Raw genomic sequence first — 20,706 nt, 5'->3', positions numbered from 1 at the left:
AAGTGATCTGCCTGCCTCCGCCTCCCAAATATTCTTCATCTATTGATGGACACTTGGATTGTTTCCACACTTTGGCTGCTATGAGTATATAAATATCTCCTTGAGTCCTTGCTTTGAGCTTTTTTTTTTGGGTATATACCTATGAGCAGAATTGCTAGGTCCTAGGATAGGTCTATGTTTAACCTTTCGAGAAACTGGCAAACTGTTTTCCACACTGGCTGCACCATTTTACATTCCCACCAACAATGCACAAGGGTTCTAACTTCTCCAGTCCTCACCAACACTTGTTATTTTCCATTTTTTAAAATTATAGCCATCTTAGTGTGTGTGGAGTTTTCTTACCCTCTTATTCCTCACATAAGGAAGACTTGTTTTGCCTAGGTGACATGCATCTACGAAACAGTTCCGCTGTAACTGGTGGGCACTTACGCAGTCTGCCTTTTCATTCTACTGTTAGTGCGTGGGAAATGTTGCAAATAAACGCATCAAACATTCCTATCATAAATTTTAAACAAATTTTAGGCCAGACACAGTGGCTCACACCTGTAATCCCAACACTTTGGGAGGCCGAGATGGGCGGATCACTTGAGGCCAGGAGTTCGAGACCAGCCCAGCCAATGTGGTGAAACCCTGTCTCTACTAAAAACACAAAATTTAGCCAGGCGTGGTGGTGCACATCTGTAGTTCCAGTTCTCGGGAGGCTGAGGCAGGAGAATTAGCTTGAACCTAGAAGGCGGAGGCTGCAGTAAACAGTGATCACACCACTGCACTTCAGCCTGGGCGACAGAGTGAGACTCCATCTCAAAAAACAACAAAAAAAATTTTTAAACAGATTTAAAAAAATGTTTTTTCTTTTGGGATGGAGTCTCACTCTGTCACCCAGGCTGGAGTGCAATGGTGTGGTCTCTGCTCACTGCAACCTCTGCCTCCCGGGTTCAAGCGATTCTCCTGCTTCAGCCTCCCCAATAGCTGGGACTACAGGCGCATGCCACCACACTGGCTAATTTTTGTATTTTTGGTAGAGATGGGGTTTCACTATGTTGGCCAGGCTTGTCTCGAACTCCTGACCTTGTGATCTCCCTGCCTTGGCCTCTCAAAGTGCTGGGATTACAGGTGTGAGCCACCGCACCCGGCCTAGATTTTAAATTTTAAACAGAGTGAAAGTACCCTTTGAATGCCTCCCTATTTCTGGCCCCTCCCCAGCCTGCTGTCAGGCAGTATCTTTCCTGAGTTTTCCATACATTCACAGATGCTTGTGAGCATGTATGAAGGCGTAGTTTTCCATTTTTTATGCAAAAAGTATTGTGCCATTTTTATTGTTCAATGACTTGGGTTTTTTTCTTCGTTTTTTACTGAACAAATCAACAGTCTTTCCATGTTGGTATTTGTAGAGCTGTGTCATTCTTGTATTTTTGTTTATTCCATAGTGTTGTAGGGGTGTATGGTACTTACTCTTAAGTACAGACATGATGTGTGGCTATTGTTAAGAACAATGTACGTTCCGGTTCAGCATCTGGACATCCGGCCTCTGTTTTCACACTCATGCAGGACTGCGGGCTCACGTCCAAAGGTCAGTTTCCTGCGGAGCATGCCTTGTTGACCTCCTGTATCTCCTCTTTGCAGGCCAAGAATAAGGAGACGGGTGCTTTGGCTGCGGCCAAAGTCATTGAAACCAAGAGTGAGGAGGAGCTGGAGGACTACATCGTGGAGATTGAGATCCTGGCCACCTGCGACCACCCCTACATTGTGAAGCTCCTGGGAGCCTACTATCACGACGGGAAGCTGTGGGTAAGGCTGCCGCCCTGTCTGTCCCAGCTCAGCCCCCATGGCCTGGTGCTCTGGAGCTAGCCTGGTCCTGAAGTCTTCAGCTCTTTCTCAGCATCTGCTTTGAGGACGAGGGCTAGGGCAAGGAGATGGTGAAGTAGGGAGCTCCTGGCCACTTACCCACCCTTTCCTGTGGTGCCTCCCCCTTGGGAGTAGAACTAGTGATTTGGAACAGAAAGCGCTATGGCCTGGCCTCGAATCCCAGCCCTGCTGTTTACAAGCTTAATAATCCTAACCAAGTTCCTAACCTCTCCATGCCTTAGTTTCTCCATCTGTAAGGTGGGGCTAATAATAGTACCTAGCTCATAGAGTGATTACTGCGATTAAGTGAGTTAATTCATGATAGGTGCTTAGAAGAGTGCTGGGCACATGTAAGAGCCCGGTAAGTATTGGCTGTTTTGTTATTTGTCATAGTAGCACTTCTTCTGCCACTGCTACAGCTGTTACATGGAGATCCTTCTCGATGGCTGCACTAAAGAAGGGGGCTCTTTACCAGCCCGCTATTCTCCATCAGCATCCTCACAGTGTGGTTGTAGCTTCAAGCGCCATCTTCCAAACTCAGCAACACCCCTCAACTTCTTTTTTTTTTTTTTGAGATGGAGCCTCGTTCTGTTGCCCAGGCTGGAATGCAGTGGTGTGATCTTGGCTCACTACACCCTCCGCCTCCCGGCTTCAAGCAATTCTCCTGCCTCAGCCTCCTGAGTAGCTGGGATTATAGGCATGTGCCACCATGCCCAGCTAATTTTTGTATTTTTAGTAGAGATGGGGTTTTGCCGTGTTGGCCAGGCTGGTCTCGAACTCCTGACCTCAGGTGATCCGCTGGCCTTGGCCTCCCAAAGTGCTGGGATTACTGGTGTTAGCCACCATGCCCAGTCCTCTTCATTTTTTTTTTTTCTAATTCTTCCAAAGAAATCCATCTTCTGACTGTGCCCTTCTCTACTGTTGGGCATTTAGGCTATTTCCTTTTCTTTCTTTCTTTTTTTTATTTTTATTTTTATTTTGCTCTTATAAACAACTCTGTGATGGACATCTTTGGATTTTTTTGTGTGTCCTCTGAGAGCTTTTTTATGAGAATTTTTTTTTTTTTTTTGAGATGGAGTCTCACTCTGTTTTCCAGGCTGGAGTGCAGTGGCACGATCTCGGCTGACTGCAACCTCCGCCTCCTGGGTTCAAGCAATTCTCCTGCCTCAGCCTCCTAAGCAGCTGGGATTACAGGTGCATGCCACCACGCCTGGCTGCTTTTTATATTTTTAGTAGAGACGGGGTTTCACCGTCTTGGTCAGGCTCTTCTTGAACTCCTGACCTCAGGAGATCCACCTGCCTCGGCTGCCCAAAATGCTGGGATTACAGGCGTGAGGCACTGTGCCCAGCGAGAATTTTTAAGAGTCTTTAATGTCTATTGCCAAACTGGCCTCACAGAGCCACTTTTGATATTAACCAAAGGAGATCTCCCATTGACCCACCCACCCACCCAGCCACCCACTTTCTGTCCATTCATCTTCCTCTCTGTGCATACAGCATTTGTTGGCCTGCTGACTATGTACCCATTAAGAAAAATAGCTATTATGTTTCTATTCCTGTTATTGATTGTGGCTGGGTACCAAGTTCATAACTTTCCCAGGTCCAAAGATACTACTTATAGTAGCTAGCATTTATTGAGAGTTTACTGTGTGCTTGGCCTTTTGCTATGAGTTTCACTTGCATTATGTGGTTTAATCTTCATTCTGTGAGGTTGTTGCTTTATCCCATCTTACAAAAGAAAATGAGAAACAAAAAAGCTATGTGAGCTGCTCCCCAGGCCACACAGCTAGCAAGTGGCAGAGCTGGAAAACCAGGTAGAGCCAAACACAGTTTGTAACTAGACTGCGACTGTCATGCTGTTGTTTAAATAAATACGCTAGACTTTTCCGTCCCTAAATTGTCACTTTAGGCTGGTGCTTTCTCCTCCAGGCCCACTGCTGTGGCCAAGACCATTTCTTTCCCTCCTCTATTGTAGCTGCCCTGACAGCCTACATTTGTTACTTTGTAGAAGGCCCCAGCTCCTCCGATTTGCCTTTTAGACACTATGAGATCAAGGAAGGTGGCCCTGGAGCTGGGTAGATAAAGAGGGGGAAAGGATGGCAGGCAGGAGAGACAGCGTGGGCAGCGGTGTGGAGGCATGAAAGGTACAGCCTGTTTGGGAGGTGGCTAGTCTAGGGCCAGGGCAGCATGTGGTGAAAGATGAGGGTGGTAAAGTAATTGGGGGCCATGTTGTAGAAGGCCCTGCATGCCAAGGTGAAGACTTATCCCTCCATCTTTTACTGCAGTGGTTCTCAAAGTACAACCCTTGGATCAGCACACCCTGGATCTTTGTTAGACATGCAGGTTATCAGGCCCCTCCTGAGGCCCATTGAGTCAGTAACTGAGGTGAGGCCCAGCAATTGGCGTTTTAAGGTAGGGCCCAGCAATCTAAGTGACTCTGATGCTCGTTTAAGCTTGAGAATCACTGTTTTAGGTAATGGAGACCCAGTGGTACTTTTTTGCAGGGGAGAGGCATATTCTGTGTTACAGAAAGAAGTCAGGTTTGAGAGGACAAGAGAAAAACGTGGAGGCAGTTTGAGAAGTGGTAAGAATAGACTAGGCCAGAAGCCCAAGGATGTGATGTGGAACATCATCTGGTCAGGGGAGGCTTCAGAGGAAGGGACATTTGAACGGGGTCTTGCAGAATGCATAGGAGTCCTCTGGGGAGATAAGAGAAGGAAGAACAGTCAAAGTAGAGGGACCAGCAAATGGGCAAAAGTGTAGAAGGGAGAAGTCCAGAGATACAGGTTGAAGGATGCACCAACCCTTTGATATTTCCTTCTGTGTGATGGTTCTCAGGCGCATCTTGTGACCAGGCCTGGGCCCCTGTGGCTTTAGGAGCCCACTTTTCCATGTGGATATCTTTGACAAAACCAGTTCTGGACCTGGGGTCTGCTCTCAGGGACTTTGGGATGAGAAACTGGCTGTTCCCCAAGTGTCTTAGGTCCCTTCTGTAGCCATGGCAGACAGGGACAGACTTTCCCCCGAGTGGGGTGGAGGTCATTCACCACACCACCCCATGTGCAATTTGACAAGATTAGCTCATTTTTGTTCAGAATTTGTAATCATGGCAAAATCCGTCTGTGCTTCCTTATCACTACTTCTGCTTTTGAATATCAAATGGTGCAAGTTGGAGAAAAACAAGCCAAAATGCTCTAGACCAGTAGAACTATAATGTGAGCCACATGCATCATTTTACATTTCTTTCTTTCTTTCTTTCTTTCTTTCTTTCTTTCTTTTTGAGATGGAGTTTTGCTCCTGTTGCCCAGGCTGGAGTGCAATGGCGCGATTTCAGCTCACCACAACCTCTATCTCCTGTGTTCAAGAGATTCTCTTGCCTCAGCCTCCTGAGTAGCTGGGATTACAGGCATGCACCACTACCCCTGGCTAATTTTGTATTTTTAGTAGAGATGGGGTTTCTCCATGTTGGTCAGGCTGGTCTTGAACTCCCGACCTCAGGTGATCTGCCTGCCTCAGCCTCCCAAAGTGCTGGGATTACAGGCATGAGTCACTGCACCAGGCCTATATGTATAATTTTACATTTCTAACAGCCACATCCAAAAGAGCAAAAAGAAACAGATGAAATTAGTTTCCATAATATAATTTATTTAACCCAGTGTATAAAAATATGATCATTTTGACATGTGATCCATTGAAAGAGTTATTGAGCTATTTTACTTTTTTTCATTCTAAGTCTTCAAGTCCAGTGTATATTTTACACTTTTAACACATCTAAATTTGGGAGCTAAATTTTCATCAGAAGTCCTTGATCTGTGTTTAGATGTCATAAAATTTACAGTTGAGAAAGGTAGATTCACACACCCAAGTTGTTCCAACATTCTTAAACGTTTCCCAGTAACTGAACCAAGTCTCAGTTTTCAAATTTAAATGAATTAGAAGAGAATGGAATAATACATTTAGGTCTCTACCGTCGCCACATTTCGAACACTCAGTAGCACATGTGTTAGTGTCTCCCATATTGGACGGCATAGACAGTGAAGCTCTAGATGACTCCCAGGGCCCAAAATGAGTGACTGCAAGAAGGCCTGGGCTGACCTCGTGAATGTCCTCTGCTAATAGCTACCCCCATCCTCCACCCCCAGCCCTGAGCCAGATTTTGGTCTCTGGGCAAATCTTTCAATGGCCGGGGGATCTCTTTTCCAACATGTATTACAGGAGCAAGAGTGAGTTCTTTGGGAAGAAAAGCTCTGGTGTCTGGCATTTGGCCCATTTCTGAATGCACATATGTCCACCTGATCAGTTTCAAGCTACCAACTCGATGTCATTAACAGAGTTGGGAAGGCCTCTGGCCTCACGGAGCTCAAAGTCTAGTGGCAGAAACAGACGGTATGAAGGCCAGTGAAGAAGTAGATGAGAGGACTTGGGCAAGTGACAAGTGAGTGGAAGAAAAATCAGTGGGGAAATGCAGTAGGCATTCCTGGGTAGGGTCAGGAGCAGGTGCTGTAAACACGATGGACAGAGAAAGCCTCTCTCATGAGGTGACATTTTAGCTGAGAGCCAAAAGACCAGATGGAGGCAGACCTCCAAATGTGTGGGGGCAGAAAGTGCCAGGTAGAGGGAATCAGAAGTGCACAGGCCCTGAGGCAGGAGTCTGCAGAGGACCCCACAGAAGGTGTTGCGGCTGGCGCGTGGTGGAGGGAGAGCGGCAGAGTAACGTGAACCGAGGCTAGACTGTCTGCAGCACATGCTGCTGAGCAGCTACTAAGTGGAAGGCCCCATGGTGGGGGCTGGGGATTCATCAGTGAGCAAGAGGGAAACGGTCCTCATCCTCATGGAGCCTCCAGTCTACATGTGGGAGACAACTAACAGCGCATGAACACATAACTCCAGCAGTGATCAGGATGGATATAAAATTGTGAAGTGGGCCGGGCGCAGTGGCTCACGCCTGTAATCTCAGCACTTTGGGAGGCCGAGGTGGGTGGATCACGAATCAGGCGTTTGAGACCAGCCTGGCCAATATGGTGAAACCCCGTCTCTACTAAAAATACAAAAGTTAGCCGGGCGTGGTGGCGTGTGCCTGTAATCCCAGCTACTCAGGAGGGTGAGGCAGGAGAATTACTTGAACCCGGGAGGTGGAGGTTGCAATGAGCCAAAGATTGTGCCATTGCACTCCAGCCTGGGTGACAAGAGTGAGACTCTGACTCAATTAAAAAAAAAAAAGAAAAAGAAAAAAAAGAAAAACGCAAAGGTCGGCCTCTGAAGCCTGCAGGTTCGCAATCCGTCTCCTGCCTGCCACTTACTGTGAGACCAGAGCCAATTCCTTCTGTCCTTGTGCCTCAGTTTTCTCAACTGTAGAATGGGGATCTTCACAGTAGTGCCTGTAGGAATAATTGAGCTAATAGTTGTTTACAAATAGAAAAGGTCTATAACAGGGCTGGGCACACAGAAACTTCGGTAAGTATCAGCTGTCACCTTCATCGTGCCTCTCCTTCACTTTCTGTTCTCTTTGGTCCCCGGCACGGGGCCTGGTGTGAAATCTGTCCATGGTAGATATGCACTGGGGAGATGAAAGGAGACAGGACGTGCCTGCCCTTGGTGGGGCAGGGGTCTGTCGCGAGCAGCCAAAGTCCCTTTGGGGTGGCCCAGCCCAAGAACGCTCCCTAAGACTTCCTGATGAGGAAGTTGGCTGGCGCCGTGGTTACCCTCCCTGAAGGAGTGACTGTGGGCCTTTCTCAGTGTGGCTTCTTGCCTCAAACTGAGCATTCTGTAAAGAGGAAGTACTGGTCCCAGGATCAAGAGCAGGGCATGGATGGGATGAGCCTGCTGTCCACATGTGTCCCCATATGACCACACGTTGCTGGCCAGGGTTTTTGTGGCTTGTAGTCCTGGGCTCAGAGGCCAGCCCTTGGTCATTGACAGAGATTGCATATCTGACCTCAAAACAGCCAAAACTGTAAAGAGAATGTGACACCCGGAAGTAGCTGACAGTGCTGTGTACTTTAGAAAGTTGTTCAGTGTGGCAGAAGGGATCTGGGGCTGGAATCAGGAGACCTGAGTTCTTCTTTCTTTCTTTTTTTTTTTTTTTGAGGTGTTGTTTCGCTCTTGTTGCCCAGGCTGGAGTGCAGTGGCGTGATCTCGGCTCACTGCAACCTCTGCCTCCCAGGTTCAAGCGATTCTCCTGCCTCAGCTTCCCGACTAGCTGGGATTACAGGCATGCACCACCACACCCGGCTAATTTTTGTATTTTTAGTAGAGACGGGGTTTCGCCATGTTGGCCAGACTGTTCTTGAACTCCTGACCTCAGGTGATCCAACCTCCTCAGCCTCCCAAAGTGCTGGGATTACAGGCGTGAGCCACCATGCCCAGCCTAGGAGACCTGAGTTCTGCCTGGGACCAACTGGCTGTGTGACCCGAGATGAGCTTCCTTTCCTGGGCCTCTGTTTCCTAATCCATAACTCTAGGGGCTTGGAAGGGAGGATCCCAAGGAGGTCTTTCTTTCTTTTTTTTTTTTTTTTTTTTGAGACAAAGTTTTGTTCTTGTTGCCCAGGCTGGACTGCAATGGCGCGATCTCGGCTCCCTGCAACCTCTGCCTCCTGGGTTCAAGCGATTCTCCTGCCTCAGCCTCCCGAGTAGCTGGGATTACAGGTGTCTGCCACCACACCCAGCTAATTTTTTGTATATTTAGTAGAGACGAGGTTTCACCATGTTGACCAGGCTGGTCTTGAACTTCTGACCTCAGGTGATCCACCCGCCTCGGCCTCCCAAAGTGTTGGGATTACAGGCATGAGCCACCGCGCCCGGCCCAAGGAGGTCTTTCAACGGAGTCTGCCCATTTTATCCTGGCCCTTGTATCTCTGCAGTTCTGAAGTCTGGATCTGTGGTCACCTGGCCTGGGGCAGCCCTTTTTGGCAGTTTTGGGTGCCAGAACCCTTTCCATTTGCCGTGGGGACCTGGTCTTCCTCGGGCTCCCTGGCACTCACCAACCCCTGCCCTCTCTCTGGATTGGGGCACCCGGTTGTTGGGACACACACACACACACACACAGACACACACACACACACACACACACACGAGCACTTTGTAAAGCACTTTAAAGTCTGCACAGGCTTTGCAGCCCTGGAGGTGGGTGTATTATTACTGTATCGACATGCCCATTTTACAGAGGGGACAGACACCCTAAGGCTCAGGGAGGGAAAGTGGGGGAGGAGGCTGGCAGCTCCTTGGCCTAGAGGGTGAATCAGGAGGCAGGGGGTGGTAACAAAAGGAAGGAGGCAGCAACATGATGATGTGGATAGTTGGCCTCGTCAGGAATGTTTTCTGTGCTAGGCCTGTGCCGGGTGGGCTGTTTCCTGACTATCTCACCAAATCCTCACAGTTCTGTGGGATTGAGTTTTGTTTGTTTGCTTTTGTATTGCTCTGTCACCCAGGCTGGAGTGGAGTGGCATGATCTCAACTCACTGCAACCTCTGCCTCCCAGGCTCAAGCAATCCTCCCTCCTTAGCCTCCCAAGTAGCTGGGATTACAAGCATGTGCCACCACACCCAGACAATTTTTGTATTTTTTGTAGAGACAGGGCTGGTCTCCAACTACTGGACTCAAGCGATTTGCCTCCCTCCGCCTCCCAAAGTGCTGGGATTATAGGCGTGAGCCACCACGCCTGGCTCGAGATTGAGATGTTGTCACCCCCATTTTACAGATGTGAAGACCAAGGGTTAGAACGGTGGAGTGGAGAGGCTCGTCCCACATGTCAGAGCCAGGCTCCAGCCCAGGTCTGCCTAGCTCCAAAGCCTTCTCTCCTGCCCCCTGGAATGCCCCTCTCTGGGTGCCAGGCTCTGGGCATCACTGGGAACAGTTCAAAGGATGTAATCTGTGACCCCCACCCTTCCACTTGAGGGGCCATCGTCCGGCAGAATGTTTTTTGGCAGGGCTTGGTGGTGAGGAGGCCTGTGCCGGGGGACCTGTCCAGCTGCTCCCTTGGGCAGTGACCCGGGTGCGGTTGGTGGCCCAGAGCAGATGGAGCTGTGAAGCAGCAGGTGGATAACTGAGGGCTTTGCTGGGATCCCGCTGTTGGAATAGCCGGCCTGGGCTGTCTATCTCACATGCAGAGGAGCAAGGGTGATTGTCATTCCAGGATTCGCCCACCATGTCACCAAGCACGTCCATGTAGCCCTTCCTGTCAGGTCAGTGCACCATCTGACCTTGTCCTTCCCCTGCATTAGTACTCTCCGGGCACCTCCCAGCCCTGCTTCCCTCTGCCCCCCACCCTGTCACTCACACCCTCATTCCTTCAGTTGATCATGCACAGAGTGGGATTGGAATCTGCCTGCACCCTGTCCTGCTGTGTGACCCCAGACACGCCTCTTCGTGCCTCTGAGCTCCAGGCTTCTCATCTGGACGTCGGGGATGATAGTGCTGATCACCACAGTGTGTCCAGGGTTGGAAACCCAGCTGGCAGACAGTAGCAGTGTAGGAGGGTCCCAGACCTGCTCGTGGCTTTCATGGTATGACTCCAAGCCAGGCATCTTAACTAGCAGGACAGGCGTGTTGCTCATAGTCCACATCAGCCAACAGATGTGTGAACCACGCCCACAGGCTACGCAGATGGCAGGTGTGATACGATCACATGTATATTGGTTTTCATCCGCAATTCCTGGCTCATAACTCCCATAGCCCTTATTACAATGTTTTGTTATCATGTTGGGTGAGTTAGGCCTCAGGAGCAGGCCCCAGGAAACAGAGTCTCTCTCTTTGACCTTCTCCTGTCCTCCTGTCACCTGCCTAAGGCAGGACTCTAATCTGATTGTGGGTCAAGAGACCGATTCCAGAGGGGTCTTATAGGAAGGCATGCCACACAGAGAGGCCAAGAAAAGTCTGAGGCTGGGCACAGTGGCTCACGCCTGTAATCCCAGCACTTAGGGAGGCCAAGGCGGGCAGATCACGAGGTCAGAAGTTCGAGACCACCCTGGCCAATATGGTGAAACCCCATCTCTACTGAAAATACAAAAAGATTAGCTGGGCATGGTGACATGTGCCTGTGGTCCCAGCTATTCGGGAGGCTGAGGCAGGAGAATGGCGTGAACCCGGGAGGCAGAGGTTGCAGAGAGCCGAGATTGTGCCACTGCCCTCCAGCCTGGACGACAGAGCAAGACTCTGTCTCAAAAAAAAAAAAAGAAAGAAAGAAAAGTCTGAGCAGCAGGTCTTGCTGGGTTTAGACCGTGCACTTTTTTTTCCAATCACGTCTCTGTACACGGTTGTCAGTCATGCCTGTGTAACGAAGTCTTCATAAAATCCCAAGAGGATAGGGTTCAGGGAACCTCTGGACAGCTGACCAGGTGGAGCTTCCTGGAGGGTGGTGTACCCAGGGAGGGCATGGAAGCCCCTTGCCCCTTCCCCCAGCCTCACCATACACATCCCTTCATCTGTATCTTTTGTAATATCTTCTATAATGAATCAGTAAACATAAGTAAATGTTTCCATGAGTTCTGTGAGCCAGTTCCAGCAAATTAACCAAATTCAAAGCAGGGTTCGTGGGAACCCCAACTGGAAGCCAGTATCTCAGAAGGTCCAGAGGCCTCGACGTGCAACTGGTATGTGGGGTGGAGGGCGCAGTCTCGGGGCCTGAGCCCTCAGCCTGTGAGATCTGACGCTGTCTCCCGGTAGATAGTGTCGGAATTGAATCGGAATACACACAGCTGGTGTCCACTGCCTGTGTGTGGGGAAAACCCCCACATTTGGTCACAGATGTCTTCTGTGTTGATGATTGTGGTGTGAGAACAGAGGAAAAACAAGGTTTGAAAGTTATTCCTCAACAGCAAGCTTTTTGTACTATTTGAATTGGTGTGGCCCTTTATACATCCACACCTTTCATATAAGAATCCAGACATCTGACTTGGCCCCACGGGCCCTATTCCCTCGCAGGCTCTGTGCGCCAGGCTGGGTGTGGCTGCCCCTCTACATAGGTACATGCTCCCTGGTTTGTCCTGCCCCGGCCAGGTGACCACTCTGGATTCATGCTCCTTCCTGTATGAGATAGGAGCAGATGATTCCAGTGCTGTGGGAAGGAGTGTGGAGACAAAGGAGGTAGAGGGGGCTGTGGGGCTGTGTTCCGTTTTCCTTGTGTTTCTTGAGCTGCTTCCTTCTTCCTGGCCTTGGGAGTGGGTTGTCTCTGGTGGAACCTTTAGCAGTTGCAGCTATCGTGGCCTCTGTCCCCGTCATGATAATACCTACCTGTGTCTGGCATTCCACATGCATGATCTCATGTGATTGGCCTCCCACCTCCCTCGTTTAGACAGGGTAGCAATGATTCACTCAGTCATTCATTCACTCACCAACACATGCTTCCCCGGGGAGCACCGGCTGTGGGCCCGGCAGTTTAGGTGCTGGGGCACAGACACGAAGGCCTGCCCTCTGGAAATTTACATTCTACAGGGGGCAGGGAGGAGGGGGAGGCAGACAACAGACAATAAAAGTAAGGCGTATAGTATGTGAGTTGGTGACGTGAGTTGGTGACGTGTGCTGTGGACAACAGATGGACGCCACACAGTGTGTGTGTGTGCGCAGTGTTTTACTGTCCTGTGGGAGGTGTGAGCTTGCCCAGGACACCTGTTGTTTCTCCAGCCTTGCACGGGGCAGGCGCTGGTGCAGGGCTGTCTCTATGGATGGTGATTTCGGTTTCCAGCATGGACACAGCACGGACACAGCATGGACATGCTACTAATGGCTGTGCTGTACTCACTGGACACCAGGTTCTGAGCTACAGGCTTTCCCTGTGTGATCCCATGTGATCACAACCAGGGAGGCAGCCTCTACCATCACCCCCACTTTACAGATGAGCATACTGAGGCTTGGATCTCCGAAGTTACTTGTCCCAAGGTCATTCTGTTAGTGTCCGGCCATAATTGGGACCCAGGTGTGTCTGGCTCCAGAGTGGAAACCCAGTGCTCACCTTGGTTCACGTGGGAGCTTTGGTTCTTTGGAGACATATGTCCCTTGACTAATGAATCCGGGAAGGCTGGGGGTTGCCCTTAGGGAAGTGCTTCTTCCCTGGCTTTCTGAGCAGGCTCTGAGCGGGCCAGCGCGTGCTCTGCCTGCAGTGGCCACCGCCCCACACTGCCCCACCCCCGCCGCCTTGGTTTGACTCCTACCTGTCCCTCAAGGACCAACTGAAAGGTTACAAAACATTTAGCAATTTGAGTTGAATGTGCCGCCTTCCAACAGCTGGTGTGCTTTTCCCTGTCCCTTCTTACCCTTGTCCTGGGATTTGTGAGTCCATCTCCTGACCTCCTCCTTGGGGGTCACTTTCCTCAGGGCAGGGGCATGGGCCTGGCTCCTTCCCCTTTGTGTCCAGCACTGTCCTTAGCAGAGCTGGCTTTAGAGAACAGTGGCCAGAGAGACAGATGGTCAAATGGATGAAAAATGTCCCTGCAGACACAGAACTGCCTTTGTCTCTCCGCTAGGGCTGAAGTCCGGTTAGCATCTGCACAGAGTCTGATCTTAGCCCTGATCTTGGCATTTCTGGAAGATGGGATGGACTCAAGCTCAGGGGACTTTGACCCCAGAGCCAGTGCTTGCGACCTGTGGGCCAGATAGTACCTGAGGGAGTTAGGTCCCCTGAAATTGAGTCGCCTTGGTTCCATCCTGAGGTGCCTTGGGACTTGGGCACGCGTAGTTAGGTGTGCAACCACCTGAGTCTCCTCATCTGTAAAAGGGGGTGGGGGGTATCTAAGTCATCCCTTAGATGTTCCCTCCCCTTTGCCTCGGCAGGACTCCCTCCACCCGGCCCCATGGCACGTACACGCTTAGGAACCTCAAGGTCACTCCCTCTGTTCCAGATGCCCTTGCCCATGGGTGAACTCAGTTCACCCTGCTCAAGGGCAGTCCTAATTCCTTCCCCAGGCTTCCTTCGAATGTGGTGGGTGAGGCTGGGGGTGGAGGAACACGCCTGGCCCAGCGTTCCTGGGAGGCCTGGGGGTGTAGGCTGCCTAGTAAATGGCAGCATTGTTTGGCCTGGAGCTCAGAGATGGGGAGATTCTGGGACTCCACCCACAGCAGCTGGCTGCAGATATGCTAAGGACATTTCTGTGTTGACTGTTGCGTTTTTTGGTGTCTGCCTCCAGGGACTTGCTTCTCAGGCAGAGGCCTTGGTTGGATAACTTTTGTCTTCTGTGCTGTATTGGAGAGGCTAAGGAGGTTCCCAGCACCGCCCCACTGACAGCATCTCTCAGTGCAGGGAGGCCTGGGGGGCTGATGGTCATGCCTACCTCTGCTTCCGCAGGAAGAAACAAGCCTAGAGAGGGAAAGCAGCTTGCCCGTGGCTACACAGCTAGGCTGTCCGTGTGTCTTGGAGTCAGACTGACCTTGGTCTATACTCTGGTTCTGTCACTTATTAGCTGAGTGGCTTTGGGGAAGCCCCTTCCCCCACCAAACCTCAGTTTCCCCATCTGTAAAACAGGAATATTTGTATTGCTTATGAAATTAAGTGAAGGAATGCTTATCAAACACTTAGCGCCATGCCACGTATGCACTAGCGGCTCAGTAATGGCAGCCATCATCTCTTCTCTCTTGGTTGGCAGTAGAGGGAGGGACTGGCTTGCCTTTGTCCTGCTTCGTTTGCACAATCTGGCTGTCATCTCTGTTAGCCATCTTTTGGCTGTTCTGCCCCTGATTTCTGGGCATCTTAAGGCTACTGAATTTTTTCATTCATGTTTATTCATTCATTTATTCAACAAACACTTATGATGATGTACTAGGTCCCGGGCTTTGATATTGGATCGTATGAAGGGAATTTTTTTAGATGTAAACTGCTTCTTCAAGGATAAAGTGACTTCGCTCACTTTGAACCTACATAGTCCATGTTGCAAATGACCTTATTGCTGTTGAGAGCTTCATTTTCCAGATGGGAAAACAGCGGAGGCTCAGAGCAGGAAAGAGGTCAGGACAGCCCCACAGAAGGATGGTGGCAGACCCAGGACCATGTCCACATCTCCTGGCTGTGGCTTATTTAATTTGAGTTCTAGGAGTTTTGCTAACATTTATTTATTGAGCACCTTTGTGTACCCAGGACATGCTCTTGGCCTCAGGAAAGCCCAGGGAGGTGAGGGGATCCAGGCCCAGAGCACGGTGTGGTCACTGCGTGTTGATGCCTCACCTCTGGAGTCAAAGTGCCTTAATTTTCTTTCTTTCTTTTTTTTTGTTTTGTTTTTGAGACAGTGTCTTGCTGTGTTGCTTAGCCTGGAGTGCAGTGGCACGATCTCGGCTCACTGCAGCCTCTGCCTCCCGGTTCAAGCTATTCTCCTGCCTCAGCCTCCCGAGTAGCTGGGATTATAGACATGTGCCACCACACCTGGCTGACTTTTGTATTTTTACTAGAGACAGGGTTTGGCCTTGTTGCCCAGGCTGGTCTCAAACTCCTGAACTCGTGAACCACTGCGCCTAGCACTCGGTTTTTTCTTGAGGACAGCTGGGGCTGTGACAGTGCCAACCCAATTCCTGCTGGTCCTACTGCCTATACGCTGTAAAAGTTAATGTCTAAACCCTGTGGGTGGTCCAGGCTCACCCTTATCTGGGACATCCTGGCTTCCTTATCTCTGGTGAGCAAGCTCACTTGGTATGTGTGTGCTGACCAGTAGGGCCCAGAGAGGGCTGGAGCAAAGAAGCAGAGGGGCCTTTCCCCCCACCCACCCAGGGGCTGTGACCCAGCCTGTTTGTGGCTTCCTCCTTGAGGCATGAGGAGGGATGGGGTGCTTAGATCTCTGCCACTTATCTGTGACCTTAATCTTCCTGAGCCTCAGTTTCCCCATATGTAAAATGGGAATACAATAATACCTAGTGCTGGTAATACTCGATAACATTTATCAAGCATTGACTTACTATGTACCAGGCAATGTCTTTTGTTCTGACATACATTATCCTACTTAATCCTCACAATAAATCTTATGAGGTCCAGGCATTTTTTAGGATACCTACCTCAAATAGTGAGTGTGAGATAATCCATGGAAAGCACTTAGCATACGGCCCGGCACAGAGTAAGCTCTCAAATTGCATTAGGTGTCGTAGATAGGGATACCGAGGTTGGCCCAGGTTAAACTGCTAACTGCCTGCCTTGTGGGGATGTTGAGGACATGATGTAAAACCTTAGAACACCTGCACACATCGGGTTCTCTTTGTGCGCATTACTTAGAAGGGTGGAAATCAACTTGGCACAGCACTTTGGTGTCAATATTTATTCCCAGAGGGCTGGTCTGGTGGAGAAGAGAGATTTTAAAATCCTAGCTCTGTCAGTCCTAAGCAATATTGAGCTGATTCCTAATTTGCACAGCTCTAAAGACGTTTGTGTAGTAATCAGTCCCACGGCAACTCTAAGTGGACACTGGGCCAAAAAGGCAAATAATTACTTAAATTGAGGTGTGCAGGTCTAATGCTGGGTGTGTGACGTGTGCTGTCTCATTTATCCCCGCCTAGCAGGTGGAGATAACCATCCAGACCCATAGATTGGCCTCCTGAATGTGAACTCCCAGGAGATGGAAACTGTTTTTTCACTGCTGTATTCCCAGTGGCTAAAACAATGCCTGGTACAGGGCAGGTGCCTGATAAATTTATGAATGAATGGACGAGTTACCTTAGAGGTGTTGCGGCCTGCCAGGATCCCGTAGCAAGGCCCCAACCCTTACACGGCACCACGACAGCTGCTCGATCTAAACTGATGGGGGTCATGGAACACAGGTGTCCAGTTTCCTTTGGCCCTCAGCCAGAGAAGAAAGCCGGCGATTACAGGCTGCTGTGACATCCCCCATCAGACACCCTCTGAGAGCGCATATAGGCTGAGGTTGCCAGGGAAACAAGGAGTTCCTGGGTGCAGAGACCACACCTCTGACAAGAGGGCCCAGGTAGAGCAGGCACCTCCCTTACCAGAGTGTATTACCTGTATCTAAGCCCATGCAGGACCACCTTATTTTTCTCTCTTTTAAATTTTTTTTTTTTTTTTTGAGACAGGGTCTGGCTCTGACACACAGGCTGGAGTGTATGTAGTGGCACAATCGGCTCACTGCAACCTCTGATTCCTGGGCACAAGCCATCCTCCCACGTCAGCCTCCTGAGTAGCTGGGACCACAGGCACGCACCACTATGCCTGGCTAATTTTTTTTTGTATTTTTTGTAGATACGAGGTCTCACTTTGTTGCCCAGGCTGGTCTCGAACTCCTGAGCTCAAGCAATCTTCCCGCCTCGGCCTCCCAAAGTGCTGGGATTACAGGCATGAGCCACCGCGCCTGGCCCTAAATTGTATTTTCTTGTGATAAGAACACTTAGCGTGAGACTACCCTTTAAACACATTTTAACGTGTACAGCACATTGTGCAGACCATAGCTATAGCGTTGTCCAACAGATCTCCAGAGCTTATTCATCTGGCTTAACTGAAACTTTATGCCCAGTAATGAGTAACTCCCCATTTCCTCTACCATCAGCCCGTGGCAGCCACCATTCCACTCTTGATTCTAGGATTTTGACTGTTTTACCAGATTCCTCATTTAAGTGGAATCTGCAGTACTTGCCTTTCCGTGACTGGCTTATTCCATGTAGCATAATGTCCTCAGGGTTCATCCATATTGTCTCACTTTGCGGAATTTCCTTCTTAAGGCAGAATAGGGATCCATTGTGTGTACATACTACATTTTCTTTATCCATTCATCTCTTGGTGGACATTTAGGTTGTTTCTACATCTCGGCTTTTATGAATAGTGCTGCGATGAACATGGGGGTGCAGGTATCTCTTCAGGATCCTGCTTTTAATGCTTTTGGATAAATACCCAGAAGTGGGATTGCTGGATCATATAGTAGTTCTATTTTTATTTTTATTATTTATTTATTTATTTTTGAGACAGAGTCTTGCTCAGTTGCCCAGGCTGGAGTGCAGTGGCACAATCTTGGCTCACTGCAACCTCCGCCTCCCGGATTCAAGCGATTCTCCTGCCTCAGCCTCCTGAGTAGCTGGGATTACAGGCATGTGCCACCACACCAGGCTAATTTTTGTATTTTTAGTAGAGACGAGGTTTTGCCATGTTGGCCAGGCTGGTCTCGAACTCCTGACCCCAGGTGATCCACCTGCCTCGGCCTCCGAAAGTGACGGGATTACAGGCATGCACCACCACACCTGGCCAAGTAGTTCTGTTTTTAATTTTTGAGGAACTTCCATACTGTTTTCTATAGCAGCTGCACCGTTTTGTATACCCACCAACAGTGTGCAAGTGCTCCCTTTTCTCCACATCCTCATCAACACGTGTCATCTTTTGTCTTCTTGATGATAGCCATTTTTACAGGTGTAAGATGATACATATCTCACTGTGGTTTTGATTTGCCTTTCCGTGATGATTAGTGATGTTGAGCATCTTTTTATTTACCTGTTGGACATTTGTATGTCGTCTTTGAAGAGGTGTCCATTCACGTCCTTCATTCATTTTTTAATTGGGATATTAGGGTTTTTTTTGCAATCAAGTTGCAGGAGTTCCTTATATATTTTGGAGATTAACCCCTGTTAAATATATGGTTTGCAAATATTTCTCCCCATTTTGTAGGCTGCCTTTTCATTCTACTGATTGTCTCCTTTGCTGTGCAGAACTTTTTAGTTTGATGTATCCCACTTGTTTATTTTTGGGTTTTTTTTTTTTTTTTTTGGCTGTGCTTTTGGTGTAATATCCATGAAATCATTGCCAAGATCGATGTTAGGAAGCTTTTCCCCTATGATTTCTTCTAGGAGTTTTATGACACATTTATATGTGTCATCTTTAATTTCTTTTGGCAACAATTTGTAGTTTTCAGTGCACAGGTCTTTTGCCTCCTTTTTTAAGTTTAACACTTCACTTTGTAATTCATTTTGAGTTGGTTTTTGTATATGGTGTAAGGTAGGGCTCCAGCTTCTCTCTCTTTCATGGATATCCAGTTTTCCCAGCTCCATTTATCAAAAAGACTGTTCCTTCCTTATTGATTGGTCTTGTTGGCATCCTTGCCAAAACCCATTTGACTATATATGTCAAGGTTTTATTTCTGGACTCCCTCTCTCTTTTCTTTTTTTTTTTTTTTTCCAGAGATGGGGTCTCACTATATTGCCCAGGCTGGTCTTGAATTCCTGGACTCAAGCAGTCCTCTCACCTCCCAAGGTGCTGAGATTACCAGTGTGAGCCACCATGCCCAGCCTTATTTCTGGACTCTCTATTCTGTTCTCTTGATCTATATGTCTGTCTTTATGCCAGTACCACACCGTATTGGTTACTGCAGCATTGTAGTACATTTTGAAATCTGGAAGTGTGCGACCTTCACCTTTGTTTTTCTTTTTCAAAATTGTTTTGGCTATTTAGGGTCCCTTGAGATTCCATAATATTTTAGGATAGATTTTTCTATTTCTGTAAAAGATGCCATCAGGATTTGACAGGGATTACAATGAATCTGTAGATCATGTTGGGTAGTATTGACATCTTAACAATATTAAGTCTTCCGGTCCATAAAGCTGGGATGTCTTCCATTTATATGTGTCATCTTTAATTTTTATTTTTTATTTTATTTTGAGACGGAGTCTCGCTCTGTCGCCCAGACTGGAGTGCAGTGGTGTGATCTTGGCTCACTGCAAGCTCCGCCTCCTGGGTTCACACCATTCTCCTGCCTCAGCCTCCCGAGTAGCTGGGACTACAGGCACCCGCCACCACGTCCAGCTGATTTTTTGTACTTTTTTAGTAGAGACGGGGTTTCACTGTGTTAGCCAGGATGGTCTCGATCTCCTGACCTCGTGATCCGCCCACCTTAGCCTCCCAAAGTGCTGGGATTACAGGTGTGAGCCACCGCGCCTGGCCAATCTTTAATTTTTTTTTGCAACAATTTATAGTTTTCAGTGCACAGGACTTTTGCCTCCTTTTTAAGTTTATTTCTTCTTAAGTTTTTAGGAATACTATATAAACATTCCTAAGTATATTCATTTTTTGATGCTGTTGTAAATTGAATTTTTTGTTTATTCATTGTTAGTATGTAGAAACACGGTTGATTTTTGTGTGCTTATCTTATACCTGCAACTAAATGTGTTTATTAATTCTAACTTTCTTGCATAATCTTTAGCATTTTCTACATATAAGATTATGTTGTATACCAACAGAAATAATTTTATTGGCTGGGCGCAGTGGCTCATGCCTGTAATCCCAGCACTTTGGGAGGCCAAGGTGGGCGGATCACAAGGTCAAGAATTCAAGACCAGCCTGGCCAATATGGTGAAACCCCCTCTCTACTAAAAATACAAAAAAATTAGCCAGGCGTGGTGGCACATGCCTGTAATTCCAGCTACTTGGGAGGCTGAAGCAGGAGAATTGCTTGAACCCGGGAGGCGGAAGTTGCAGTGAGCCAAGATTGTGCCACTGCACTCCAGCCTGGGTGACAGAGTGAGACTCCATCTCAATAAAAAAATAATAATAATAATTTTATTTCTCCTTTCCAATTTAGATGTCTTTTATTTCATTTTGTTGCCTAAGTGCACTGGCTAGGACTCTCAGTGCTATGTTGTATAGGAGTGGTGAGCGTGGGCATTTTTGCCTTGTTCGTGATCTTGGAGGAAAAGCTTTCAGTCTTTCACCATTAAGTGCGATGTTAATTGTGCATTTTTAATATATGGCCTTTAATATATGGCCTTTTTTTTTTTTTTTTTGAGACAGAGTCTCGCTCTGTCGTCCAGGCTGGAGTACTGTGGTGTGATCTCGGCTCACTGCAAGCTCCGCCTCCAGGTTCATGCCATTCTCCTGCCTCAGCCTCCCGAGTAGCTGGGACTACAGGCGCCCGCCACCACGCCCGGCTAATTTTTTTTTTTTTTTTTTTGTATTTTTAGTAAAGATGG

General features: G+C 48.5%; 1 protein-coding gene across 3 annotated transcripts in view, besides 4 other annotated features; it reads left to right on the top strand.

The window, feature by feature from the left end:
- The window catches only part of STK10 (serine/threonine kinase 10), a 146,146-nt gene that overhangs the window by 29,813 nt on the left and 95,627 nt on the right, over positions 1–20,706 (top strand). For all 3 annotated transcript variants that reach the window (XM_047417629.1, XM_047417628.1, NM_005990.4), the window contains exon 2: positions 1,624–1,788. In XM_047417629.1, coding sequence (XP_047273585.1) covers positions 1,624–1,788 — 165 coding nt within the window. The remainder of the gene's footprint in view (positions 1–1,623; positions 1,789–20,706) is intronic.
- Positions 6,665–6,840: a silencer, noted in NCBI's record as "fragment chr5:171578576-171578751 (GRCh37/hg19 assembly coordinates)". NCBI's record gives its function as "represses an EF-1alpha promoter that drives an FKBP-Casp9 reporter gene in an ReSE screen in phorbol 12-myristate 13-acetate-treated (for megakaryocytic differentiation) K562 erythroleukemia cells {active_cell/tissue: K562(+PMA)}" and the evidence as "EXISTENCE:reporter gene assay evidence [ECO:0000049][PMID:32094911]".
- Positions 7,325–7,534: an enhancer, noted in NCBI's record as "active region_23624". NCBI's record gives its function as "activates an Ori minimal core promoter by ATAC-STARR-seq in GM12878 lymphoblastoid cells {active_cell/tissue: GM12878}" and the evidence as "EXISTENCE:reporter gene assay evidence [ECO:0000049][PMID:35858748]".
- Positions 7,545–7,604: an enhancer, noted in NCBI's record as "active region_23623". NCBI's record gives its function as "activates an Ori minimal core promoter by ATAC-STARR-seq in GM12878 lymphoblastoid cells {active_cell/tissue: GM12878}" and the evidence as "EXISTENCE:reporter gene assay evidence [ECO:0000049][PMID:35858748]".
- Positions 13,706–14,206: an enhancer, noted in NCBI's record as "H3K4me1 hESC enhancer chr5:171571210-171571710 (GRCh37/hg19 assembly coordinates)". NCBI's record gives its function as "activates a minimal SCP1, AML or CMV promoter by ChIP-STARR-seq in primed H9 embryonic stem cells {active_cell/tissue: H9 hESC(primed)}" and the evidence as "EXISTENCE:reporter gene assay evidence [ECO:0000049][PMID:30033119]".

Source organism: Homo sapiens, chromosome 5 (assembly GCF_000001405.40).
Source record: "Homo sapiens chromosome 5, GRCh38.p14 Primary Assembly".
NCBI lineage: Eukaryota > Metazoa > Chordata > Mammalia > Primates > Hominidae > Homo > Homo sapiens.
The sequence above is the reverse complement of the archived record's forward strand: the minus strand, read 5'-3'. Positions and strand labels throughout refer to the sequence as shown.